Source organism: Homo sapiens, chromosome 2, assembly GCF_000001405.40.
Source record: "Homo sapiens chromosome 2, GRCh38.p14 Primary Assembly".
Taxonomy (NCBI): Eukaryota; Metazoa; Chordata; class Mammalia; order Primates; family Hominidae; genus Homo; species Homo sapiens.
In genome coordinates, this window is record NC_000002.12 from 153,707,767 (window position 1) to 153,732,552 (window position 24,786).

General features: G+C 36.8%; 1 protein-coding gene across 5 annotated transcripts in view, besides 2 other annotated features; it reads left to right on the top strand.

Moving 5' to 3' along the window:
• The window catches only part of GALNT13 (polypeptide N-acetylgalactosaminyltransferase 13), a 1,388,282-nt gene that overhangs the window by 639,474 nt on the left and 724,022 nt on the right, over positions 1–24,786 (top strand). The gene's annotated exons all lie outside the window — the stretch shown is intronic.
• Positions 11,412–11,987: an enhancer, noted in NCBI's record as "NANOG-H3K27ac-H3K4me1 hESC enhancer chr2:154575691-154576266 (GRCh37/hg19 assembly coordinates)". NCBI's record gives its function as "activates a minimal SCP1, AML or CMV promoter by ChIP-STARR-seq in naive H9 embryonic stem cells {active_cell/tissue: H9 hESC(naive)}" and the evidence as "EXISTENCE:reporter gene assay evidence [ECO:0000049][PMID:30033119]".
• Positions 11,988–12,563: an enhancer, noted in NCBI's record as "NANOG-H3K27ac-H3K4me1 hESC enhancer chr2:154576267-154576842 (GRCh37/hg19 assembly coordinates)". NCBI's record gives its function as "activates a minimal SCP1, AML or CMV promoter by ChIP-STARR-seq in naive H9 embryonic stem cells {active_cell/tissue: H9 hESC(naive)}" and the evidence as "EXISTENCE:reporter gene assay evidence [ECO:0000049][PMID:30033119]".

The window sequence follows — 24,786 nt, forward strand, 5'->3', positions numbered from 1 at the left end:
ATGAGTAAAACCTGGATTATATGTGTGAGTATGGACTCTGAGGGTGTTAGACCAGGGAGGAATATAATTTAGATCACACTGAGGTTATTGATCTGAGTGTAGTTCCAGAAGGCTTCTGGACAGAATGCCTAACCTCAAGCAAGTGGGCCTACTATACCTTATTTTGGTTAATTAGACTGAGAAAATTAATCTCTTATGGGCTCCATTAAATGATATTAAGATGCCATAAATTCTTTGGAACAATGAGGAGAATGGATTCATCATGTTAAAACGGATCTTTCCATACCCCCTACCCACAAGTCTTCCCTCATAGAGTAAGCTCTGGTTCACTTTTATTTCCGTCACCAATTTCTGTATTCTATATAGGGCCCACCTTTGGCAATCTTCATTTTAGAATGAAAAAAAAAGTATTTTACATCATAAGAGAGATTTAGACTAGAAGAAAACTACTGGTGTATGTTCCCTTTACATAAAAAGTCTGGAAAATGATAATGATAATGATATGAATCTCATAGTCTTCATAGGGACCTCAAAGCAGCTTCCTTCTCCCAGGCAATTCTACTTCTGTGGAGTGTGTATGTGAGAGGGTGAGTGAAAGTTTATGACAGGGTGTAAAATAAAACTATCCTCTATTCTTAACTGTTATACAGAATAGTCATAATTATGCATTTGATTGGCTGTGTATCAGGTTAGCTTTATTTTATAGATATGCATCTCAAAACCTATCATGGCAATCAGTCTTTAAACTTTATCAGGTGAACTAATCACCTTATGAGAATCTTAAAAAAATTGAAAGGACTGTGGCTTTAGTGTAAATCAATGGTTGTCAGGATTCCCTTGCAGTCTTGAAATATTTTGAAGACCCAAAGAGATTTTGTTTATACAGATTTATCTATTTGTATTTAACAATTAAAAGTAAAATTCAAAAACAACAAAGCTGGAGGCATCACACAACCTGATTTCAATCTACTGTATACTACAAAGCAATAGTAATTAAAACAGCATGGTACTGCTGTTTTATAAACATAGGCACATTGACCAATGGAATATAATAGAGAACCCAGAAATAAACCTGTATATGTTCTGTCCATTGATTTTGACAAAGATGCCAAAGGGGAAAGGACAATCTCTTCAATAATTGGTGTGGGAAAAACTGGATATCCAAATGCAGAAGACTGAAATTGGGCCTTATCATACACAATATGCAAAAAATCAACCCAAAACGGATTAAAGACTTAACATAAAACTTGAACCTTTAAAGCTACTAGAAGAAATCAGGGGAAAAATTACATGACATTGGTCTGCGCAATAATTTTTTAAATTTGACCCTGAAAGCACAGAGAATGAAAGGAAACCTAGGAAAAATGGATTACATAAAACTAAAAAGATTTGTATAGCAAAGGAAACAGCAAGGTCAAGAAACAATTTACAAATTGGGAGAAAATATTTTCTAACCACTTACAACTGAATGCAAAATATCTAAGGGACTCAAACAGATGAATAGCAAAAAACAACAACAACAAAAACAAAACAAACAAAAAAACCCAACTAAAAGAAGGGCAAAAGACATGAATAGACTTTTCTCAAAAGAAAACATATAAATGGCTAACAGATATATTAAAAAGTGTTCCACATCACTAATCATTAGGGAAATGAAAATTGAAACCACAAGATATCACCTCACATCTATCAGAATTAGCTATTATTAAAAAGTCAAGTGATAGCGAGTGTTGGTCAGGAGGTGGAGGAAAGGGAATTCTTGTACACTGTTGGTGGGGATTAAATTAGTGCAGCCATTATGGAAAACTGTATGGAAGTAACTCAAAGAAACAAAAACAAGAATTACCATATGATTCAGCAATCTCACTTTTGGGTATTTACCCAAAAGATTTGAAATAAATATGTCAAAGAGATGTCTGCACTCCTATGTTCATTGCAGCTCCATTCACCACAGCCATGTTATAAAATCAACTTCAGTGCCCATCAACAAATGGATACAGAAAATGTGGTATATATATATATGTAATGAAATAATATTCAGCCTTAAATAAGTTCTGTCATTGTGACAACATGGATGAACCTGGAGGACAGTATGCTAAGTGAAATAACCTAGGCACGGAAAGACAAATACCACATGTCCTCATTTATAAATGGAATCTAAAACAATCAAATTCAAAGAAGCAGAGAGTAAATTAGTGATTACCTGAGGCTGTGGGGTGGACGCAATGTGGAAATGATGGTCATAGGGTACAAAGCCTCAGGCAGAAGAAATAATTTCTTTCTTAGATCTATCGCACAGCATGGTGAATATATTTAATAATAGTGTATTATACATTTCAAAACTGCTATGAGAATAAATTTCAAATGCTGTCACCACAACAGATGATACGTATGTGAGGTGATAGATACATTAGTTACGTTGATTTAACTATTCCACATTGTATTCAAAATCAACACATAACTTCGTACCTAAGAAATCCATACAACCACAATTTGTCAATAAAAATAAAGTAAGCTGAGAACTTTTAAAACATGAAACTACAAAAGTGAACATTCCATTAGCTGTCAAAGAGATGATGTCATCACACGTAACTTCTGAAAAAATCACAGACACTCAGAAAATGAGAGTGAAAAAGTAAAATAATATCTCGATACTATTATGAAAATATTTTTGACCTTGTGGATCCCCAGAAGGATCTCAATAAGTCCCAAGAGTTCAGAAGTTCTTGAACCACATGTCGAGAACAACTGGTGTAAGTAATTTTCTTTCTTCTGAACCCAAATATAATTACCATCCAAACTGTGTATATTAACCTTTAAAGGAGAAGGAATGTATATTTTGATTTCCCTATTAGAATATAGCTCCTAGAGAGCTTATCTTTAAGTTTTTTTCTCTACTGAACGATCATACAACCATCCAACAATCCTTGCTTGTTTCCTCCATATGCTGTTTATTATAATATTACCCACTTGTCAATAAAGTAATTATCATATACATTGGGAACTATTTAACTGATCAATGAATATGTCATTGATACTACCTAGTTGATACATTTTCTTTCTTACAGATATTGTGTATTTTATTTTTTTTAAACATCGAGTGGTCTTTGACAGGACAACAAAAGCAATGTATAACACAAAAGGTCACTACCCTTCAGTACATTTTTTATTAATCTATTTTCTTTATGAATAAAAATTTTATATGATAGATTTGATGTTTTTAAAAATATAAGCAAATAACACTTTCACTCTAAGTAAAAACATTTGACTTTAAAACAATATTTTAAACCCCCTTTCTCTGAGCCTTGCCACAGGAACTTTGTTGTATAATTACTTAGCTCTAAATTCAGCTCTCCAAACCATTTTCAGTTACTACTAAAGCCAAGTTTTTGAAAGAGTCATTTATCAAAATTACTAAGCTCAGGATGCTGAAATGAATTTATAAAAATTGCTATTATAATTTGGCCTAAATCTATGGCTTTATAACATGCATAGTATATATGGGCTTACATTAGTGGAAACATTAACTAAAATCTGGCCTCAAGTTAGAACTTGATGCCATCATAAGTAACTTGAAATAGCTCAAGCTATAGGCTTCTCTAGGAGATAATTATAATAAAAGCTACTGTATACTGCATAGCTCAGTACCGTGTACTAGGAACTATGCCCAGCCCTTTACATCTCTCATTGTAATCCATGCGGCCATGCCTAGAAGCACCTATCATAATCCCCATTTCATAGGTAATTAAATGGAAGTTCAGAGAAGGTAGGAATCTTGGCAGTCACCTGGATTTCCACCCAGGTTTGACATGAAAGCTGTGTATTCTAATTCCTTAATACAAAGAAGTTAAGTAATTATATGGATCAGAAGTTTAGTTAGTAGTAGTACCAAATAAAGCTGAATTCACAACAAAGATCTGTAGCTCACTTGTGCTACATGTCCATCATGGGTTAGCTGTGGGCTCTCTTCCATGTTTTCCTTACTCAAAAATGCAAGTTAATAAGGGTCCATCCCCTCTATTATCAGTTGTTGCTGCAACAGGGAAAGAGGACATGGAGAGTTGTATGCTGGCTGTTAAAGGCATCACCTTTATTCACATTTTATTTGCCAAGTCAAATGGCTAGGCCTACCTTCAAGAAGGTGAATCCCACTACATGCTGAGAAGAAAACAAGTGATAATCAAAGCAGTCTTTTTGAAATTTTGAGTAAAATACGCTACTTCTCCAAATGTTAGTTCTTTTGACACAACCTGAAATAAAAAATAAAATTGGTTTGGGTTTGTGATCTTTTTTATGAAAATAGACAATTATACCTGAAATTGTAATCATATTCCTTCTTTAGAAACTTCAAGGGTAACTAGTCATAAAATTCCTGGAAAAATTATGGAAACTTGTTCTTATACTTCCGATCCTTTTTAGCAAGATTAAAAATGTGCTTCAATTAGAAGTATAATGTTTATATTATTTCAATGTGACAGTTATGCTATTAGATGTGACATTCTTAGAGATTACAGCTTGCCTTTTGAAAGAAGCTACCAATTTACTAGTCTGTCAAAGAAATAGCTCACTGAGATTTAAGACATTATATATATTTTTTGTCTCCTTTCTCAACCCTTAGCCAACATCACTCCCTTCTTGCCCTAGGTTCTTATCAACATTGGAGAGTCAGTATCAGGATAAGTTTGTCATCTGCAAGAAAGAAGAACCTCAGTATATTCTTAAATTTTTAGTTCATTTAAAAAAAATGAGCAAATAAGTTATTGGGTTTCAAGTGAATAGGTAGGACATTATGGTAGCGTAGAAAAGTCTAGGGCTTTTTGCCTGGTGATCTGTGTTAAAACCTGTTTCTCTTGTACTTGCAGAGGTGAGACTAGAAAAAAAGGTCTGCTACTCCATTAAATGATTATTTTTCAAATTCACAAGCAACTTTGAGGTATACGACATGGAAATGATCTTTTTAAGTGTAACAGAGACGTCTTTCAAGCCATGGCCATCTCATCTACTATCATTATGAAAGCCATCATTGGAGCAGGTAGTCAGTATCTAACCACTGAAGCTGACCTGGAGAGTCAGCCCAGGCAAAGCTATCTGTGTCCCATAGAGATCAAAACATGTATCGGTCCACCATTTTGAAAATCTAATCATACCCTGCCCCACCGGGGAATATTAAATGAATGGATCTATTTCAGCCATTGTAAAAGAATAAGTGGAGTCCAACCAAGTAAGCAATCTGTGCTGTGGGAACCTGTTGTCCAACTGTATAAAAACTACTTCCAAAGCCAATATATAGGTGAGTCACTTCAGGCATTCTGTTAATGGCCTGAAACAAAGTATATGGCAGATACGGAATTTAAATTGTAGAGAAGTTTATATATATGTTAAATATTAGCTGGTATAGTAATATTGTCCCTAAAACTAGTACAGGTACCTCCAAAAATACTTTTATTTTTTAGGTAAAAGATAAAATACATTATAACACTTCCCTTTGTATGAAATAAATAATACCCTTATTCATTTCTCCTGGACTAACTGGCTTGAGAGCCAGCAAAACATAAGCAGCTCTCACAGTGCTATCAGACTCAGGAATATCACTGAAGCTACAAACATCCTGATTCCAGGGTTTCCTTCCTCCTCACTGATGTCTCTTACATTATGATTTTGTTGAAGTCAGTTCTTTTCTACTGGTGACTCTCATGGTTCCATGTTCTGCCATAAGGAGACCATGTCTTTTTTTTGTGTGTTGGAGTCTTGCCTGTTACCCAGGCTGGTGCAGTGGCATAATCTTGGCTTACTGTAGCCTCCACCTCCCAAGTTCAAGTGATTCTCCTGCCTCAGCCTCCTGAGTAGCTGAGACTACAGGTGTACGCCACCACACCCAGCTAACTTTTTTTATTTTAAGTAGTTACGGGGTTTCGCCATGTTGGCTAGGCCAGTCTTGAACTCCTGACCTCAAGTGATCCACCTTCCTTGGCCTCCCAAAATGTTGGGATTACAGGCGTGAGCCACTACGCCTAGCCAGGCTATGTCTTTTAATGCCTATGGAACATTAAAATCAAACATCAATCAAATAAAAACTGTCATCCAGACAACTATTGTACTGCCACTTAGATCTCAAACTCCCCATCCTCCCAAAGTGATACAATTTGCTGCCATTTTCATATCCTGGAGAGCAACATCCCTGAAGTGTGTAGAGAGTGACCCCACTTTCTCTAGCAATGAATACTACATACTAAATATCCCTAAGTCTTAGGGAAAGTTCCCAGGGGCTATGCTGAGGGCATTAGATGATACCAGTGTTGTACTGAAACATCACATCTCCATGCACAAATTCCTCAAACCTTTCCTATATCACGGTGAGTTCTTGCTAACTTGGGACATTCCAGGTCCAGAGATTTAGACATGTTTGTTGTCTTTTTCATTTAGAATTGATAGTCCGACTGAGACAGAACACATTTATCATTACCATAATCATCATTGCTTTTTCTCCTAGGAGGAGAAATATTTTCTCCACATGTAAGAAAAAAAGCTAGAGACCTGTTCTATGTCAAAGAGTTCTCAAAGTCAGTTATTAAATATATAATTAAATAAAATACACAATAGGCATGTATATGGGTATCATGTTTTTGATTTTAATAAAGTCTACCTTTTTCTCACCTATTTTACTGCATGCTTTCAAAAATGCTCCCCACATTCAAGAAAACCATCTTCCAATATGTACCTTTAGGCTCTGCCAACCATATTTCTCACTATTCTAAATTAAATGAATATATCATAGCCAGAGACCAATTTTTTTAATGGTGAAACACTGGAACTGTTAAGCTTAAACAATTTGCAATGTTATAATTAAGGTAGAGAAAAATGAACAATTATGAAGTGTTAAAAACACAAAGTACTCAATGTACCTATTCAAGCTTCCAAGAGCTCCCACCAGCCAAATGAAGCAAGGCAAAATGGAAATGGCAAAAGCTAAATCATAGGTCTATACCCTTTGGGTTCCAATTCTTGTGTGTTATGTCATTCTAATAATTAGTCTGAATCTAGAGTATAAAGAAAAAGAAAACAGAGTAATACTACTTCATACTTAGCCCTTACCTCCTTCTTTTCATTCATTTGAGTCTCAAAGAGTCTGAAATACCCGTGTTAGGGAATACTGCCATAAGCTGTTGAGAGCTAATTAAAATTCAAATGCTACTTGGAAATTTTACAATCTTTTTCTTTAGTTTATCCATAAATGTAAAATATGTGTCTGAAGTAGCTCACTCTCTCTGTGTCTGTCATTCCATCGCACCATGGCTCTGGGGGCATCATTCTTAGTGAACTATCAGCTTGCAAAGAATAGGAGGCATCAGGATTTCACACTGGCCTCACCTCAAAATCCAATTGCTGGCCTCACACAGCTCAGTTATTAACTTCACTGGGATGTGTATAATTTATTATTTATACTGACCTATTAGGGCTAATTGTAATCAGGGGTATTTTTGTGTGCCTAAGTGTTAATTGCTACCAGTAGCTGAGGTGGTAATTGGATCTGGGAATGAAGTCTAGAACAAACTGTCTTCAGAAATACCCAGAGCTTCAGAGGTAGCGGCTGATTGCTTTGCAGCCCTCCAGTCTCCTTAGCTCCCGAGGGTTTCAACTGGCTTTGGCCCTTCCACAGTGTGTCAGCAGCTCTCTCACCTGTGACTGGTGCATTGCCTTTTAGCAGCTTTAAATGGTAGATGCTAATGGCTTTGCAGCCTTGCAGTTCTCCCAGCAGGTTTCCATGCCTTATATTACTTTAAACACAAAGCACTTTGAAAACATACATAAATTAAGACTATAATTCCATCTCTAGTCTTTGGCATGTACTACTTGTCAACTTTTCAAACAGCAAATGGCTGATATAAAGCATTCCAGCAGGCTTGGCTCAGAGTATTCCTTCTCTCTGCTTCCCATTTAGGCTCTAGCCCTTCCATCTTTAATCCACCCATTGCTCTCTCCTTATCATATATTAACATCCTCAATTCTCAGTTCACTTTTCTTTTAGGTTTACATGCTAGCTCCCTCTTTTCTTCTTCTTCTTCTTCCTTTTTTTTTTTTTTTCTGACTCATGGCTTGGATGTCAGAGCTGTAACCAGCCACAATTGCAAACTGATGTCTTTTCATTTTACATACATATAGGGAAGAGGGCCAGGACACAGTTTTCTGGGTTAAGGATTTTGGGATCCTGAGCTCTGTTTTTGTTTTCATATTGTTGAAAGGGTAATGATAAACGTTTCATTGGTAACAAAAGTTTGAGGATCGAGAACTAAGAGAAATACAACAACAACAAAAACCTTGCTTGTCTGAGTATCCTTTGAGCTGATTATTTTCTCACCTGTAGCAGGGCCTATCACTGTAAAGTAAAAGAGTGAGTTTGGGAGCCCGAGAGAAAATCAGATGAAACTTAGTTCCATGGAAGAGCTTTAGTCACACTGAATATCTCAGATCCTTGCCAGCTTGTCCAACCCATGGCCCACTGGCCACACGTGGCCCAGGATGGCTTTGAATGCAGCCCAAACAAATTTGTAAACTTTCTTAAAACATTATGTGATTTTTTTGGTGTGATTCTTTTTGTTTTGTTTGCTCATCAGCTATCATCGGTGATAGTGTATTTTATGAGTGACCCAAGACAATTCTTCTCCTTCCAGTGTGGCCCAGGGAAACCAAAGATTGGACACCCCTGAAAAGCTCACTCAGTGGGAATTGATAGCTCCCAAGCAGCCAAGGCAGCTAGTAATGACATTTCATTCTGAAGTTCAGAAAAACCTCTATGAGTAAGCAATAATCTGAATTGCACACATCTCAGATTAAAATTTTTAATTGTATTGTTGCAGTCATATTGTAATATAGTCTTGCATTTAGGGGTCATTCCAATGACCACCAAAGACCTTTCAATGGTTCACTAATAATTTACTGAGTTTTGAATACTATCCCACTTAACACTACAAAATAACTAGTTATTTCTAATAAACAGGCCTGTGAGTGGTAAAACTACTCTTAATCCCATACAAAGTAAACTAAAAAATAAACAGCTTTACACTTTTTGGTTTCTAAAGCAAACCTAATGGAAAGGCCCCCTACTGCAAGCGTGAAACAGAAGGGAAATATTTTCATGTTCTTCTTAAAGAGAATCTGTTCCTTTCAAGATGAATCCTGAATCTTCCTAAAACCACTGGCTCTAAACAATGTTAGTTTGCCTGCCTGTCATCTAGCATGCTCTGAACCACACCCTTCTCACTTCATCTATAGCAGGAAGGATTAAGGCATAAGAGGTGTTTTCATAACCATTCAATATTGCTGGGGCCCTTTGGAAGCACTGTAGCTTCCTTGCCTGGGTGGCAGTGTTTATTCCCCCGACATAAGAGCATTCCCCAATGAACATCTCAAAATAATAAACATTCTGCTTTGCCATTTTTCCCCCTTCTGTTGGCTGTTTGTTGTTCCTAATTGCTAGCAGTGTTGCCACATAATGAAAATAAAAGCGTGTATTAGCAAGTTTCACTTCCATTCTGCAGGGATTTCATTCCACTTTAGTATTTTTTTAGACAATAAGTGAAGCAGACTTTCTGCTACTGCTGTGGCATTTTTAGTAGAGATTTAAGCATCTATTGAGGAAATAACTTCTAAACTCTTGCAGGATACCAATTTATGTACTTGTAGGTAGAATATTTTCTCAGCTACCACTCCTAATTTATTTGGCTTTTTCTTTTTCCTCAGAATAAAACCTTGTACATGGTATTATGTAGAGGATGAACACAATTCAAAAATTATGTCAACGTTATTGCTTATATAAGACAACACAAATTGCGTTCTTGTATTTTATATTTATAGTTAATTTTAAATCTTCTACATATTTTAATTCTTTCTAGACTGGTAGTACATTTCATGCAAAAAAGAAAGAAGCACAAATGTTTAATATTTCATTAACATGCTGAGTTTTTAAGGACTGAGGCTTTTGTAATGACTGTTAAACCAATCTAACAGTAGTTGGTTAACTGGATTACTTCGAGTAAAAATTTAAAAGGCTGTAAAGCAACTAGCCAGAAGTCTTATTCAACCATGAAATCAGAATTTTCTCAGCATTTGGTGCTTGGCCATCAATTATTTACGCTAAATTTACTTACCAAGTTCTCAAACCTAGTAGAGAAAATAAATAAAAATATCTAAAAATTAGTTTTTTTTTTTATTCAAAGCCACAGGATGTCTGCAAACCCTCTCCTTTGGTGTTGCTCTGGAATCATTTGAAAATTCTGAGAATATGGCTCACCTCTTCTTTTAATTTAACGATGTCAAAAAAAGATTCATTGGTGTTCTCACTTAATTAAAAAGTCCACACTTCTTAGAATTTTGAAGATAGATTAAAAATCTAGTTTCATCATTGTTACTATTAGAACACAAACCAAAAACATGCTTAAAAAAAAGCTAGGACCATAAGAGAGACGAAACTGTTTGTTAATGGTCCAATGCAAAACACAGAAAACAAACAAACAAAAAAACAGAATTAAGATTGATCCAAAGCCAGGACACAAAGTAAGGTAGTGAAATTTGTCTTGGGTGCCCTTTAGTGTCTCTCTTAATCACCCGTGTCTGTTCCTGCTCAAAGGTATTCTGGGGTAAGCTTAAAGGGTTTTTTTTTTTTCATGTTTTTGTTTTGTTTTGTTTTGTTTTTAATTTTAGAAGTTATTCGTTAAACATTAGGACGCCTTTAAACTCAACAGGAATAAATCCCTATTCTGGAGTTTGAGGCTCATAAAAGTAATAGAGGTGAAATTTGCAGCTGATGGGGCTTCTGGTGGCCCACAAGTCACGTTTCATAGCCATCTTCATATTCTTCTAACGCAGTGACATGAGGAGGCAGCAGGTGTCAGGACGGAGCATTAGAAGATTGAGGACTTTTTTCTACCCTCACCAGCTGTGAGAAGTTACAGAGAATAATGCTGTGAACTCTAGCTTTCTCATCTATGTGTTGTTAAGAACAATTCACATTCTGCTGACCTCACAGTGTTGTGAAGGTCAGGTTTACAATACACTTTGAAAATTAGAAGGCATTTTAGAAGTATAATGTGCTGTTATTGAATGGAGCATTTAAAGTTTGTATCCAAACCGTATGTTTTTACACTACATGTCTAATTAAACACGGGGGTTCTCTGTTTATATAAGAAGAAATGCCGTGAATTTTACCCTCAAAGTCCAGAGAAGGATTTTCCACTGGTCATCATTAACTGTATTAGGTTAACTCCCACTGAGACCCCTACTCTGTTCTTATTCCACTGAATCTCTGTTGATGATGGCAAGGCACCTCAAGCCTTGATTTTCTGTCTTCATATTTAATGTTGATACTGTTAAGTTCATTACAACAACCATCTGATCAATAGTGGCTTGAAGAAGCTGAGGATGTGTAGCTTGGAAAAGGGAAGACCAGGAAAATCAGGTAGAAATTATGGCTTGGGAGTTACTAGCTGTTTGAATTCCTACTACATAAAGATACTTAACTTATCTATAGTCCCCTCTAACTCACTAAATTGTATGTTCAACTTACAAAGAACATTTTCCTGAGGGCTACATTGACACTGACTGAAAGGTACCTCTTCAATTTGTAATTGATGATTAGGTATTTGCTTCCATATTTGTTCAAAGTCCCTTTGAGAAAAGCTAATATGGGGGGAGGAGCCAAGATGGCCGAATAGGAACAGCTCCGGTCTACAGCTCCCAGCTTGAGCGACGCAGAAGACGGGTGATTTCTGCATTTCCATCTGAGGTACTGGGTTCATCTCACTAGGGAGTGCCAGACAGTGGGCGCAGGCCAGTGGGTGCGCGCACCGTGCACGAGCCGAAGCAGGGCAAGGCATTGCCTCACCTGGGAAGTGCAAGGGGTCAGGGAGTTCCCTTTCCGAGTCAAAGAAAGGGGTGACGGACGCACCTGGAAAATCGGGTCACTCCCACCCGAATATTGCGCTTTTCAGACCGGCTTAAAAAACGGCGCACCACGAGACTATATCCCACACCTGGCTCGGAGGGTCCTACGCCCACGGAATCTCGCTGATTGCTAGCACAGCAGTCTGAGATCAAACTGCAAGGCGGCAGCGAGGCTGGGGGAGGGGCTCCCGCCATTGCCCAGGCTTGCTTAGGTAAACAAAGCAGCCGGGAAGCTCAAACTGGGTGGAGCCCACCACAGCTCAAGGAGGCCTGCCTGCCTCTATAGGCTCCACCTCTGGGGGCAGGGCACAGACAAACAAAAAGACAGCAGTAACCTCTGCAGACTTAAATGTCCCTGTCTGACAGCTTTGAAGAGAGCAGTGGTTCTCCCAGCACGCAGCTGGAGATCTGAGAACGGGCAGACTGCCTCCTCAAGTGGGTCCCTGACCCCTGACCCCCGAGCAGCCTAACTGGGAGGCACCCCCCAGCAGGGGCACACTGACACCTCACACGGCAGGGTATTCCAACAGACCTGAAGCTGAGGGTCCTGTCTGTTAGAAGGAAAACTAACAAACAGAAAGGACATCCACACCGAAAACCCATCTGTACATCACCATCATCAAAGACCAAAAGTAGATAAAACCACAAAGATGGGGAAAAAACAGAGCAGAAAAACTGGAAACTCTAAAACGCAGAGCGCCTCTCCTCCTCCAAAGGAACGCAGTTCCTCACCAGCAACGGAACAAAGCTGGATGGAGAAGGATTTTGACGAGCTGAGAGAGGAAGGCTTCAGACGATCAAATTACTCTGAGCTACGGGAGGACATTCAAACCAAAGGCAAAGAAGTTGAAAACTTTGAAAAAAATTTAGAAGAATGTATAACTAGAATAACCAATACAGAGAAGTGCTTAAAGGAGCTGATCGAGCTGAAAACCAAGGCTCGAGAACTACATGAAGAATGCAGAAGCCTCAGGAGCCGATGCGATCAACTGGAAGAAAGGGTATCAGCAATGGAAGATGAAATGAATGAAATGAAGCGAGAAGGGAAGTTTAGAGAAAAAAGAATAAAAAGAAATGAGCAAAGCCTCCAAGAAATATGGGACTATGTGAAAAGACCAAATCTACGTCTGACTGGTGTACCTGAAAGTGATGGGGAGAATGGAACCAAGTTGGAAAACACTCTGCAGGATATTATCCAGGAGAACTTCCCCAATCTAGCAAGGCAGGCCGACGTTCAGATTCAGGAAATACAGAGAACGCCACAAAGATACTCCTTGAGAACAGCAACTCCAAGATACATAATTGTCAGATTCACCAAAGTTGAAATGAAGGAAAAAATGTTAAGGGCAGCCAGAGAGAAAGGTCGGGTTACCCACAAAGGGAAGCCCATCAGACTAACAGCGGATCTCTCGGCAGAAACCCTACAAGCCAGAAGAGAGTGGGGGCCAATATTCAACATTCTTAAAGAAAAGAATTTTCAACCCAGAATTTCATATCCAGCCAAACTAAGCTTCATAAGTGAAGGAGAAATAAAATACTTTACAGACAAGCAATTGCTGAGAGATTTTGTCACCACCAGGCCTGCCCTAAAAGAGCTCCTGAAGGAAGCGCTAAACATGGAAAGGAACAACCAGTACCAGCCGCTGCAAAATCATGCCAAAATGTAAAGACCATCGAGACTAGGAAGAAACTGCATCAACTAACGAGCAAAATCACCAGCTAACATCATAATGACAGGATCAAATTCACACATAACAATATTAACTTTAAATATAAATGGACTAAATTCTCCAATAAAAGACACAGACTGGCAAGTTAGATAAAGAGTCAAGACCCATCAGTGTGCTGTATTCAGGAAACCCATCTCACGTGCAGAGACACACATAGGCTCAAAATAAAAGGATGGAGGAAGATCTACCAAGCCAATGGAAAACAAAAAAAGGCAGGGGTTGCAATCCTAGTCTCTGATAAAACAGACTTTAAACCAACAAAGATCAAAAGAGACAAGGCCATTACATAATGGTAAAGGGATCAATTCAACAAGAGGAGCTAACTATCCTAAATATATATGCATCCAATACAGGAGCACCCAGATTCATAAAGCAAGTCCTGAGTGACCTACAAAGAGACTTAGACTCCCACACAATAATAATCGGAGACTTTAACACCCCACTGTCAACATTATACAGATCAACGAGACAGAAAGTCAACAAGGATACCCAGGAATTGAACTCAGCTCTGCACCAAGCGGACCTAATAGACATCTACAGAACTCTCCACCCCAAATCAACAGAATATACATTTTTTTCAGCACCACACCACACCTATTCCAAAATTGACCACATAGTTGGAAGTAAAGCTCTCCTCAGAAAATGTAAAAGAACAGAAATTATAACAAACTATCTCTCAGACCACAGTGCAATCAAACTAGAACTCAGGATTAAGAATCTCACTCAAAGCCGCTCAACTACATGGAAACTGAACAACCTGCTCCTGAATGACTACTGGGTACATAACGAAATGAAGGCAGAAATAAAGATGTACTTTGAAACCAACGAGAACAAAGACACAACATACCAGAATCTCTGGGACGCATTCAAAGCAGTGTGTAGAGGGAAATTTATAGCACTAAATGCCCACAAGAGAAAGCAGGAAAGATCCAAAATTGACACCCTAACATCACAATTAAAAGAACTAGAAAAGCAAGAGCAAACACATTCAAAAGCTAGCAGAAGGCAAGAAATAACTAAAATCGGAGCAGAACTGAAGGAAATAGAGACACAAAAAACCCTTCAAAAAATCAATGAATCCAGGAGCTGGTTTTTTGAAAGGATCAACAAAATTGATAGACCGCTAACAAGACTAATAAAGAAAAAAAGAAGAATCAAATAGACACAATAAAAAATGATAAAGGGGATATCACCACCGATCCCACAGAAATACAAACTATCATCAGAGAATACTACAAACACCTCTGTGCAAATAAACTAGAAAATCTAGAAGAAACGGATACATTCCTTGACACATACACTCTCCCAAGACTAAACCAGGAAGAAGTTGAATCTCTGAATGGACCAATAACAGGAGCTGAAATTGTGGCAATAATCAATAGTTTACCAACCAAAAAGAGTCCAGGACCAGATGGATTCACAGCCGAATTCTACCAGAGGTACAAGGAGGAAATGGTACCATTCCTTCTGAAACTATTCCAATCAATAGAAAAAGAGGGAATCCTCCCTAACTCATTTTATGAGGCCAGCATCATTCTGATACCAAAGCCGGGCAGAGACACAACCAAAAGAGAGAATTTAGAACAATATCCTTGATGAACATTGATGCAAAAATCCTCAATAAAATACTGGCAAACCGAATCCAGCAGCACATCAAAAAGCTTATCCACCATGATCAAGTGGGCTTCATCCCTGGGATGCAAGGCTGGTTCAATATACGCAAATCAATAAATGTAATCCAGCATATAAACAGAGCCAAAGACAAAAACCACATGATTATCTCAATAGATGCAGAAAAAGCCTTTGACAAAATTCAACAACCCTTCATGCTAAAAACTCTCAATAAATTAGGTATTGATGGGACATATTTCAAAATCATAAGAGCTATCTATGACAAACCCACAGCCAATATCATACTGAATGGGCAAAAACTGGAAGCATTCCCTTTGAAAACGGGCACAAGACAGGGATGCCCTCTCTCACCGCTCCTATTCAACATAGTGTTGGAAGTTCTGGCCAGGGAAATCAGGCAGGAGAAGGAAATAAAGGGTATTCAATTAGGAAAAGAGGAAGTCAAATTGTCCCTGTTTGCAGACGACATGATTGTTTATCTAGAAAACCCCATCGTCTCAGCCCAAAATCTCCTTAAGCTGATAAGCAACTTCAGCAAAGTCTCAGGATACAATATCAATGTACAAAAATCACAAGCATTCCTATACACCAACAACAAACAAACAGAGAGCCAAATCATGAGTGAACTCCCATTCACAATTGCTTCAAAGGGAATAAAATACCTAGGAATCCAACTTACAAGGGATGTGAAGGACCTCTTCAAGGAGAACTACAAACCACTGCTCAAGGAAATAAAAGAGGATACAAACAAATGCAAGAACATTCCACGCTCATGGGTAGGAAGAATCAATATCGTGAAAATGGCCATACTGCCCAAGGTAATTTACAGATTCAATGCCATCCCCATCAAGCTACCAATGACTTTCTTCACAGAATTGAAAAAAACTACTTTAAAGTTCATATGGAACCAAAAAAGAGCCCGCATCGCCAAGTCAATCCTAAGCCAAAAGAACAAAGCTGGAGGCATCACACTACCTGACTTCAAACTATACTACAAGGCTACTGTAACCAAAACAGCATGGTACTGGTACCAAAACAGACATATAGATCAATGGAACAGAACAGAGCCCTCAGAAATAACGCCACATACCTACAACTATCTGATCTTTGACAAACCGGAGAAAAACAAGCAATGGGGAAAGGATTCCCTATTTAATAAATGGTGCTGGGAAAACTGGCTAGCCATATGTAGAAAGCTGAAACTGGATCCTTTCCTTACACCTTATACAAAAATCAATTCAAGATGGATTAAAGACTTAAACGTTAGACCTAAAACCATAAAAACCCTAGAAGAAAACCTAGGCATTACCATTCAGGACATAGGCGTGGGCAAGGACTTCATGTCCAAAACACCAAAAGCAATGGCAACCAAAGCCAAAATTGACAAATGGGATCTAATTAAACTAAAGAGCTTCTGCACAGCAAAAGAAACTACCATCAGAGTGAACAGGCAACCTACAACATGGGAGAAAATTTTCACAACCTACTCATCTGACAAAGGGCTAATATCCAGAATCTACAATGAACTCAAACAAATTTACAAGAAAAAAACAAACAACCCCATCAAAAAGTGGGCGAGGGACATGAACAGACACTTCTCAAAAGAAGACATTTATGCAGCCAAAAAACACATGAAAAAATGCTCATCATCACTGGCCATCAGAGAAATGCAAATCAAAACCACTATGAGATATCATCTCACACCAGTTAGAATGGCAATCATTAAAAAGTCAGGAAACAACAGGTGCTGGAGAGGATGTGGAGAAACAGGAACACTTTTACACTGTTGGTGGGACTGGAAACTAGTTCAACCATTGTGGAAGTCAGTGTGGCCATTCCTCAGGGATCTAGAACTAGAAATACCATTTGACCCAGCCATCCCATTACTGGGTATATACCCAAATGACTATAAATCATGCTGCTATAGAGACACATGCACACGTATGTTTATTGCAGCATTATTCACAATAGCAAAGACTTGGAACCAACCCAAATGTCCAACAATGATAGACTGGATTAAGAAAATGTGGCACATATACACCATGGAATACTATGCAGCCATAAAAAATGATGAGTTCATGTCCTTTGTAGGGACATGGATGAAATTGGAAACCATCATTCTCAGTAAACTATCGCAAGAACAAAAAACCAAACACCGCATATTCTCCCTCATAGGTGGGAATTGAACAATGAGATCACATGGACACAGGAAGGGGAATATCACACTCTGGGGACTGTGGTGTGGAGGGGAGAGGGGGGAGGGATAGCATTGGGAGATATACCTAATGCTAGATGACGAGTTAGTGGGTGCAGCGCACCAGCATGGCACATGTATACATATGTAACTAACCTGCACAATGTGCACATGTACCCTAAAACTTAAAGTATAATTAAAAAAAAATAATAATAATAGTAATAATAAAAAAAAAGAAAAAAGCTAATATGACTAAGATGCAGTAGTTCTTTTTAAAGTCCAAAATAATATAAAATAATGGGAAGCTTTTAAATGATAAATGGATAGGGAATAGCTGAGAAAATTTTAAGAAGATTTTTTGGAAAAATGTAAAGTTTATGATATTCTACCCCATAGTGTCCAAAAATCTGGTCCCATGCCACCAGCTTCACAGATGCTACTTTTGAGGAAGATGGATGCTACTGGCAGCTGGTTCCAGAAATATAATTTGAAACTTTAATTGGCATTCCTAATGTGCAGCACAGCTTAATCATATGAAAAAAGAAGTGTTTTGTGCTGAATGTTTAAATGATCTTTTCCCCCTCTTTGTGAAATAAATTATAAAACATTCTTTACACTATCTTTTGTGTGTGTATACAGTTATCTTAATTAGTATAATAATTTTTAAATTATGCTTTTAATATTTTTTCGTATGAAGTGTTACTAGGAAATCCATAGAGTAGCTCTTTCTTCTTTAACAACAATATTTGATTATTATGTAAGTTATTATTCTGTTGATGAGTATTTTAATGCCAACATAATCTTAAAGTAGAGACTTCTGAAAAAAATTTAACATTTTAATGTATATTTGGAATGGCTTTTATAGTCCTTTCTAGAGGTACAAATACACATATTCACATGCATATACAGAAAAATTACAGAAATGTGGTAGACATCACTATATAAATGAACTTTACATATTAGTTATTCAAAATTATAATTTGAGACATTTGGAAAAGTTTAATTTGAATGATTGACTGAAATGTTAAGTCAACGCTGTCTTTAGTAACTCTCATAGATGTGACTCGTGTCTTTTTTAAAAAAAATGCAAGTTTTTTTTCATGTGGAATCAGTACCTTAGGTTAATGTTTCTTTAACCATTCCTTCATGTAGCCATAATTTGAAAGTAATAAAATATGACTTTGTGAGGCACATTTTAATAAAATTCCTGCAAAGTAAATTTGATAAAATGTACTCCATTCTAGGTGTTGATAGGCAAATAAAACGCTTTCAGACAATGAATGCCTAAACTTCTACCTGCTTATTTTCCACATAAGAAATCTCTTTATTTTAAAGATATGTACGAATAAACCACGTCATTTGGCTCATGTACCATTTTTTCCTTGTTAAGAAACACGTATGGCCGGGTGCGGTGGCTCATGCCTGTAATCTCAGCACTTTGGGAGGCCGAGGGGGCGGATCACAAGGTCAGGAGATCAAGACCATCCTGGCTAACACGGTGAAACCCTGTCTCTCCTAAAAATACAAAAAATTAGCCGGGTGTGGTGGCGGGCACCTGTAGTCCCAGCTACTCAGGAGGCTGAGGCGGGAGAATGGTGTGAACCCGGAAGACAGAGCTTGCAGTGAGCCGAAATTGTGCCACTGCACTCCAGCCTGGACAACAGAGCGAGACTCCATCTCAAAAAAAAAAAAAAAAACAAAAAAAAAACCACACATATTAGGTTGCTAGCCTGTTTCCTATTCAAAGAGAGTATCAGTAAACCATTGGGTCCAAACTGCTGATCTGAAATCACACAATCATAACTTCACACAGTAATATTGAAACCTGTAAAACATTAATTACTATATAATTTTCAGTTATTGGATGTAGACTTTCAAGCTTACCTTTTTTGGAAAGCTGTAGTTAAAAATAACATAATCAAGGTGTTTCTGATTTCTCACATAATATATTGGTTTTGCCTGTTTGGGAGCTTTGCCTGAATAGAATTGTTTAGTGTGGTTTCTGGTCTATTTTGCTTAACAAAAGGTTTGTGAGATTTGTCCACATTTTTGTTTGTAGTTGTACATCATTCATTCTCATTGTTGTATATTTCATTTTGTTAAGAGGCCACAATTTATCCATTCTACTGTTGATGCATTTGGTACTTTTTTTTATTCTTTTCTATAATAAATAGTGCTTTCATGAACGTTCAAGTGTACACATTTCTGTTAGAATTGGAATGAAGTAGATCTGCTGTATCATACAGTGTATAACTGGTCATCTTTAGTAGCAACTGTCAAAGAGTCTTGTAAAGTGACTTTACCAATTGCCATCCATACGACTCATCTATAAGAGTTCTAGTTGGTCTATAGCCTAACACTGGATATTTTCTCCATTTTCTATTTTAGCTATATTTTGGGTGTATAAAACAATCACCTGTGATTTCACCTTATGTTTCTTAATAACTAATGAAGTCAAGCACTTTTTTTCTTTTTTTTTTAACTTTTACTTTAAGTTCTGGGATAAATGTGCTGAACATGTAGGTTTGTTACATAGGTATACATGTGCCACAGTGGTTTGCTGAGCCAATCAACCCGTCATTCAGGTTTTAAGCCCGTATGCATTAGGTATTTGTCCTAATGCTCTCCCTCCACTTTCCCCTTACCCACTGACAGGTCCCTGGTGTGATGTTCCCCTCCCTGTGTCCATGTGTTTGCATTGTTCAGCTCCCACTTATGAGTGAGAACATGTGGTGTTTGGTTTTCTGTTCCTGTGTTAGTTTGCTGAGGATGATGGCTTCCAGCTTCATCCATGTCTCTGCAAAGGAGATGAACTCATTCTTTTTTATGGCTGCATAGTATTCCATGGTGTGTATGTGCCACATTTTCTTTATTCAGTCTATTATTGATGGCCATTTGGGTTGGTTCTAAATCCTTGCTCTTCTAGATACTGCTGCAATAAACATACGTGTGCATATGTCTGCATAGTAGAATGTTTTATACTCCTTTGAGTATATACCCAGTAATGGGATTGCTGAGTCAAATGGTATTTCTGGTTCTAGATCCTTGAGGAATCACCACACTGTCTTCCACAATGGTTGAACTAATTTACACTCCCACCAACAGTGTAAAAGTGTTCCTATTTCTCAACATCCTCTCCAGCATCTGTTGTTTCCTGACTTTTTTAAAGAAGTTATTTGAAACCAATGAGAACAAAGAGACAATGTATCAGAATCTCTGGAACACAGCAAAAACAGTGTTAGGAGGGAAATTTGTAGCGCTAAATGCCCATATCAGAAAGCTAGAAAGATCACAAATCGACACCCTGAAATCACAATTAAAAGAACTAGAGAAACAAGAGAAAACAAATCCAAAAGCTAGCAGAAGACAAGAAATAAGTAAGATCAGAGCAGAACTGAAGGAGCTAGAGACACGAAAAACCCTTCAAAAAATCAATGAATCCAGGAGCTGGTGTTTTGAAGATTAACAAAATAGATCACTAGTCAGACTAATAAAGAAGAAAAGAGAGAAGAATCAAATAGACACAATAATAGTGATAAAGGGGATATCACCACTGATCCCACAGAAATACAAACTACCATCAGAGAATACTATAAACACCTCTATGCAAGTAAACTAGAAAATCTAGAAGAAATTGATAAATTCCTGGACACATTCACCCTCCCAAGACTGAACCAGGAAGAAGTCAAATCCCTGAATAGACCAATAACAAGTTATGAAATTGAGGCAGTAATTAATAGTGTATCAACCAAAAAAAGCCCAGGACCAGACAGATTCATAGCTGAATTCTATCAGAGGTACAAAGAAGAGCTGGTACCATTCCTTCTGAAACTGTTCTCCGCAATAGAAAAAGAAGGACTACTCCCTAACTCATAGCCAATATCATACTGAATGGGCGAAAGCTGGAAGCATTCCCTTTGAAAACCAGCTCATTTAGATGTCTTCTTATGTAGAGTATCTTTAAAACCCTTTTTCCATTGGATTTCTGACTTCTGTTGATTTGAAAATTATTTGGATATTTTAGATATGAAAAAATGTCTTTTCAGATGTACATATTTTTAATATATTTTTTCTTCTGTGGATTAAATGTTCAGTCTCTTAATGCTATACGTTAACAAACACAGGCTTTTAATTTTAATATAGTTTAATTTATCATTTTAAAAAAATTAAGGTTACTGATTATTGTGTCATCTTAAGAAATACTTGCCTATTCCATCACAAAGTTACTGTGCTGTGTTTTTTAATAAAAGCTTTCTACTGTTACTTTTGTATTTATATCTGTAATCCCTCTGGAGTCAATTTTGATGTAAGGGTTCGAGTCAAAATTTACTTTGCCCACTTTCACTATTCCTATTTAACATAGTACTGGAAGTCCTAGGTAGAGCAATTAAAGAGGAGAAAATGTAAAAGTCATCCAGATAGAAAAAAGAGGAAGTATTCTGCTGACATGATCTTATACCTAAAAAATCCTAAAGAGTCATCCAAAAGATAACTAGATGTGATAAATGACTTTAGTAAAGCTTCAGTATGCAAACCAGTATTCAAAAATCAGTAGCAATTGTATACACCAAAAACAATCAAGCTGAGAACCAAATTAAGAACCCATTTACAATAGCTACAAAAATAGTAAAATATCCAGAAAGAGAACCACAAAACACTGATGAACGAAATTATAGATGACACAAATACATGCAAAAAAAAAATCCCATGTTCGTGGAATGGGAGAATCAATATTGTTAAAATAACCACACTGCCCAAAGCAATCTACAGATTCAGTGCAACACCTATCAAATTACCAATGTCATTTTTCCCATGATTAGACAAAACAATTCTAAAATTCATATGGAACCAGAAAAAAAAAGTCTGAATCATCAAAACAATCTTAAGCAGAAACAGCAAAGTGGGAGGCATCACATTACCTGACTTCAAATTATACTACAAGACTATAGTACCGAAAGAGCATGGTACTGGTTTAAAAATAGATACATAGATCAATTGCAGAGTAGGGAAACTAGAAATAAAGCCACACATCTACAACCAACTGATTTTTGACAAAATTGACAAAATAATACAAATATAACTGGAGAAAGGACACTCTATTCAATAATTGGTACTAGAAAAATTGGATAGCTATAAGTAGAAGACTGAACTGCTTTCTGTCACCATATACAAAAATCAACTCAAATGAATTAACAAGTTAAATATAAGACTTGAAACTTTAAAGGTCCTATAGGAAATCACAGGGATAATTTATGACTAAGATCTCAAAAGCAAATGTAACGAAATAGACAAATGGGATTTAATTAAAAAGCTTCTTCACAACAAAAGAAATTATCAACAAATAAACATACAATCTACAGAAGGGATAAAATATTTGTAAACTATGCATTTGAAAAAGAACTGCTATCCAGAATCTACAGGGAACTCAAACAACTCAAGAAGAAAAAAAAATAAGCCCATTAAAAAGTTGGCAAAAAACATAAACACACATTTCTCAAAAGAAGACATACAAGTGACTAACAAATAAAAATGCTCACCATCACTAATCATCGAAGAAATGTAAATTAAAACCACAGTGAGATATTATCTTACACCAGTCTGAATGACTATTATTAAAAAGTCAAAAGACAACAGATGTTGATGGGGATTCAGAGAAAAGGGCACTGTTATACACTGTTGGTGAGAATGTAAATTATAATATATCTCCTGCATTCACACATTTATTGCAGTACTATTCTCAATAGCAAAGTCATGAAGTCAACCCAGATGTCCATTATTAGATGATTGGATAAATAAACTATTATATATATATATGTGTGTGTGTGTGTCTGTATATGTTTGTGTGTGTGTGAATGTCATATATATGACATATATGTGTGTCATTTATATTTCACATATGTGATGTATTATATAAAACATATTGTCATATATATGTTGCCTTTTGCAGCAACATGGATGAAACTGGAGGCCATAATCCCAAATACAATAACTCAGAAAATCAAATACTACATGTTCTCATGTATAAGTGGAAGCTAAGTGATGTGTACACGTGGACATATAGAGTGGAATAATAGATATCAGAGATTGCAAAAAGTGGGACGTGGGTGAGGGATGAGAAATTATCTACTGGGTACAATGTACACCATTTGGATGATGAGTACACTAAAAGCCTAGACTTTACCACTGCACGATATGTCTTTGTAGCAAAACTGTACTTGTACACCCTGAATCTATTACTGATAATATAATAATAATGTGTAGTGTCCATGGCTCCATTAACTTACTCATTTTGCCATGTCCTCATCCAACAGTGAAGCAGGATATTACTGATGCATATTACATGACACAGGACTATAAATATAGGATTCAAACTTTACTTGTAGGAGGCATTGGTTGATTAAATATACTTTTTAGATAAGTATTAATTGTTATTGCAAAACTAAGGTTTCAAGCGAAAAATTGGCATAGGAAATATTTTATATTTGCCAATTTTATATTTTGACATCTTTTTTTTTCTGCAGTGCAGAGCTGCTATAAACTATTGAGAAAGACGCTCTCTAAATAAAACTAGAGAACAGATCCTTGCCAGATATAAGACTAAATGCAGACAAGTGTTTTGTGTTGTTTTGTTTGTTTTATATAAAGTAACGGGTTCTACTGTGGTATGTAGCACAAAGACTGATGCTCCGAGAGCTTATAAATAGTGATAAAGTCATGTGTTGCTTTTTTGAAATAAATAGAATGCTCTCTTTTTTCATTTTAGAAAAAGGAACTACATTGTGAGTTTTTGAATTATCTGATACTCTACAGGAGACATACAATGAGTAGCAGATCTCAGAAAATTTATCATTCAGAAAGATTTTCTGGACTAAAACTATCATTAGGTTATATGTAAATTTAGATAAATTTATATATCCTAAATCCATAGTAGGTCATTAAGTGGGGTTCGAGGATACATCTCTAACTTTTTGAGATGGGTCTCACAGAAAACAAATGATACCTTCTTGTTTCAGTGTCTTTTGAGTTCACATTTAGTAGTTTTGAATCATTTGCCTAACTGATGTGATTTAGTATTTGCCTAATTCGTGAGCATGTGAGTGTAGAGTACTAACAATATTAAAAGAATATGAACAGAACATTATATATTATAATTTTGTTTGGGATCAGTTACCACCACAGTTGATTCTCATATGTGGTTAATGAGGCAGAGGGCATGGATTTAATTTTTGGAGAGACCAGATAGTTTTTGTACTGTAATATAACAATGAACTCTACCCTAGCACCTTTAAGACT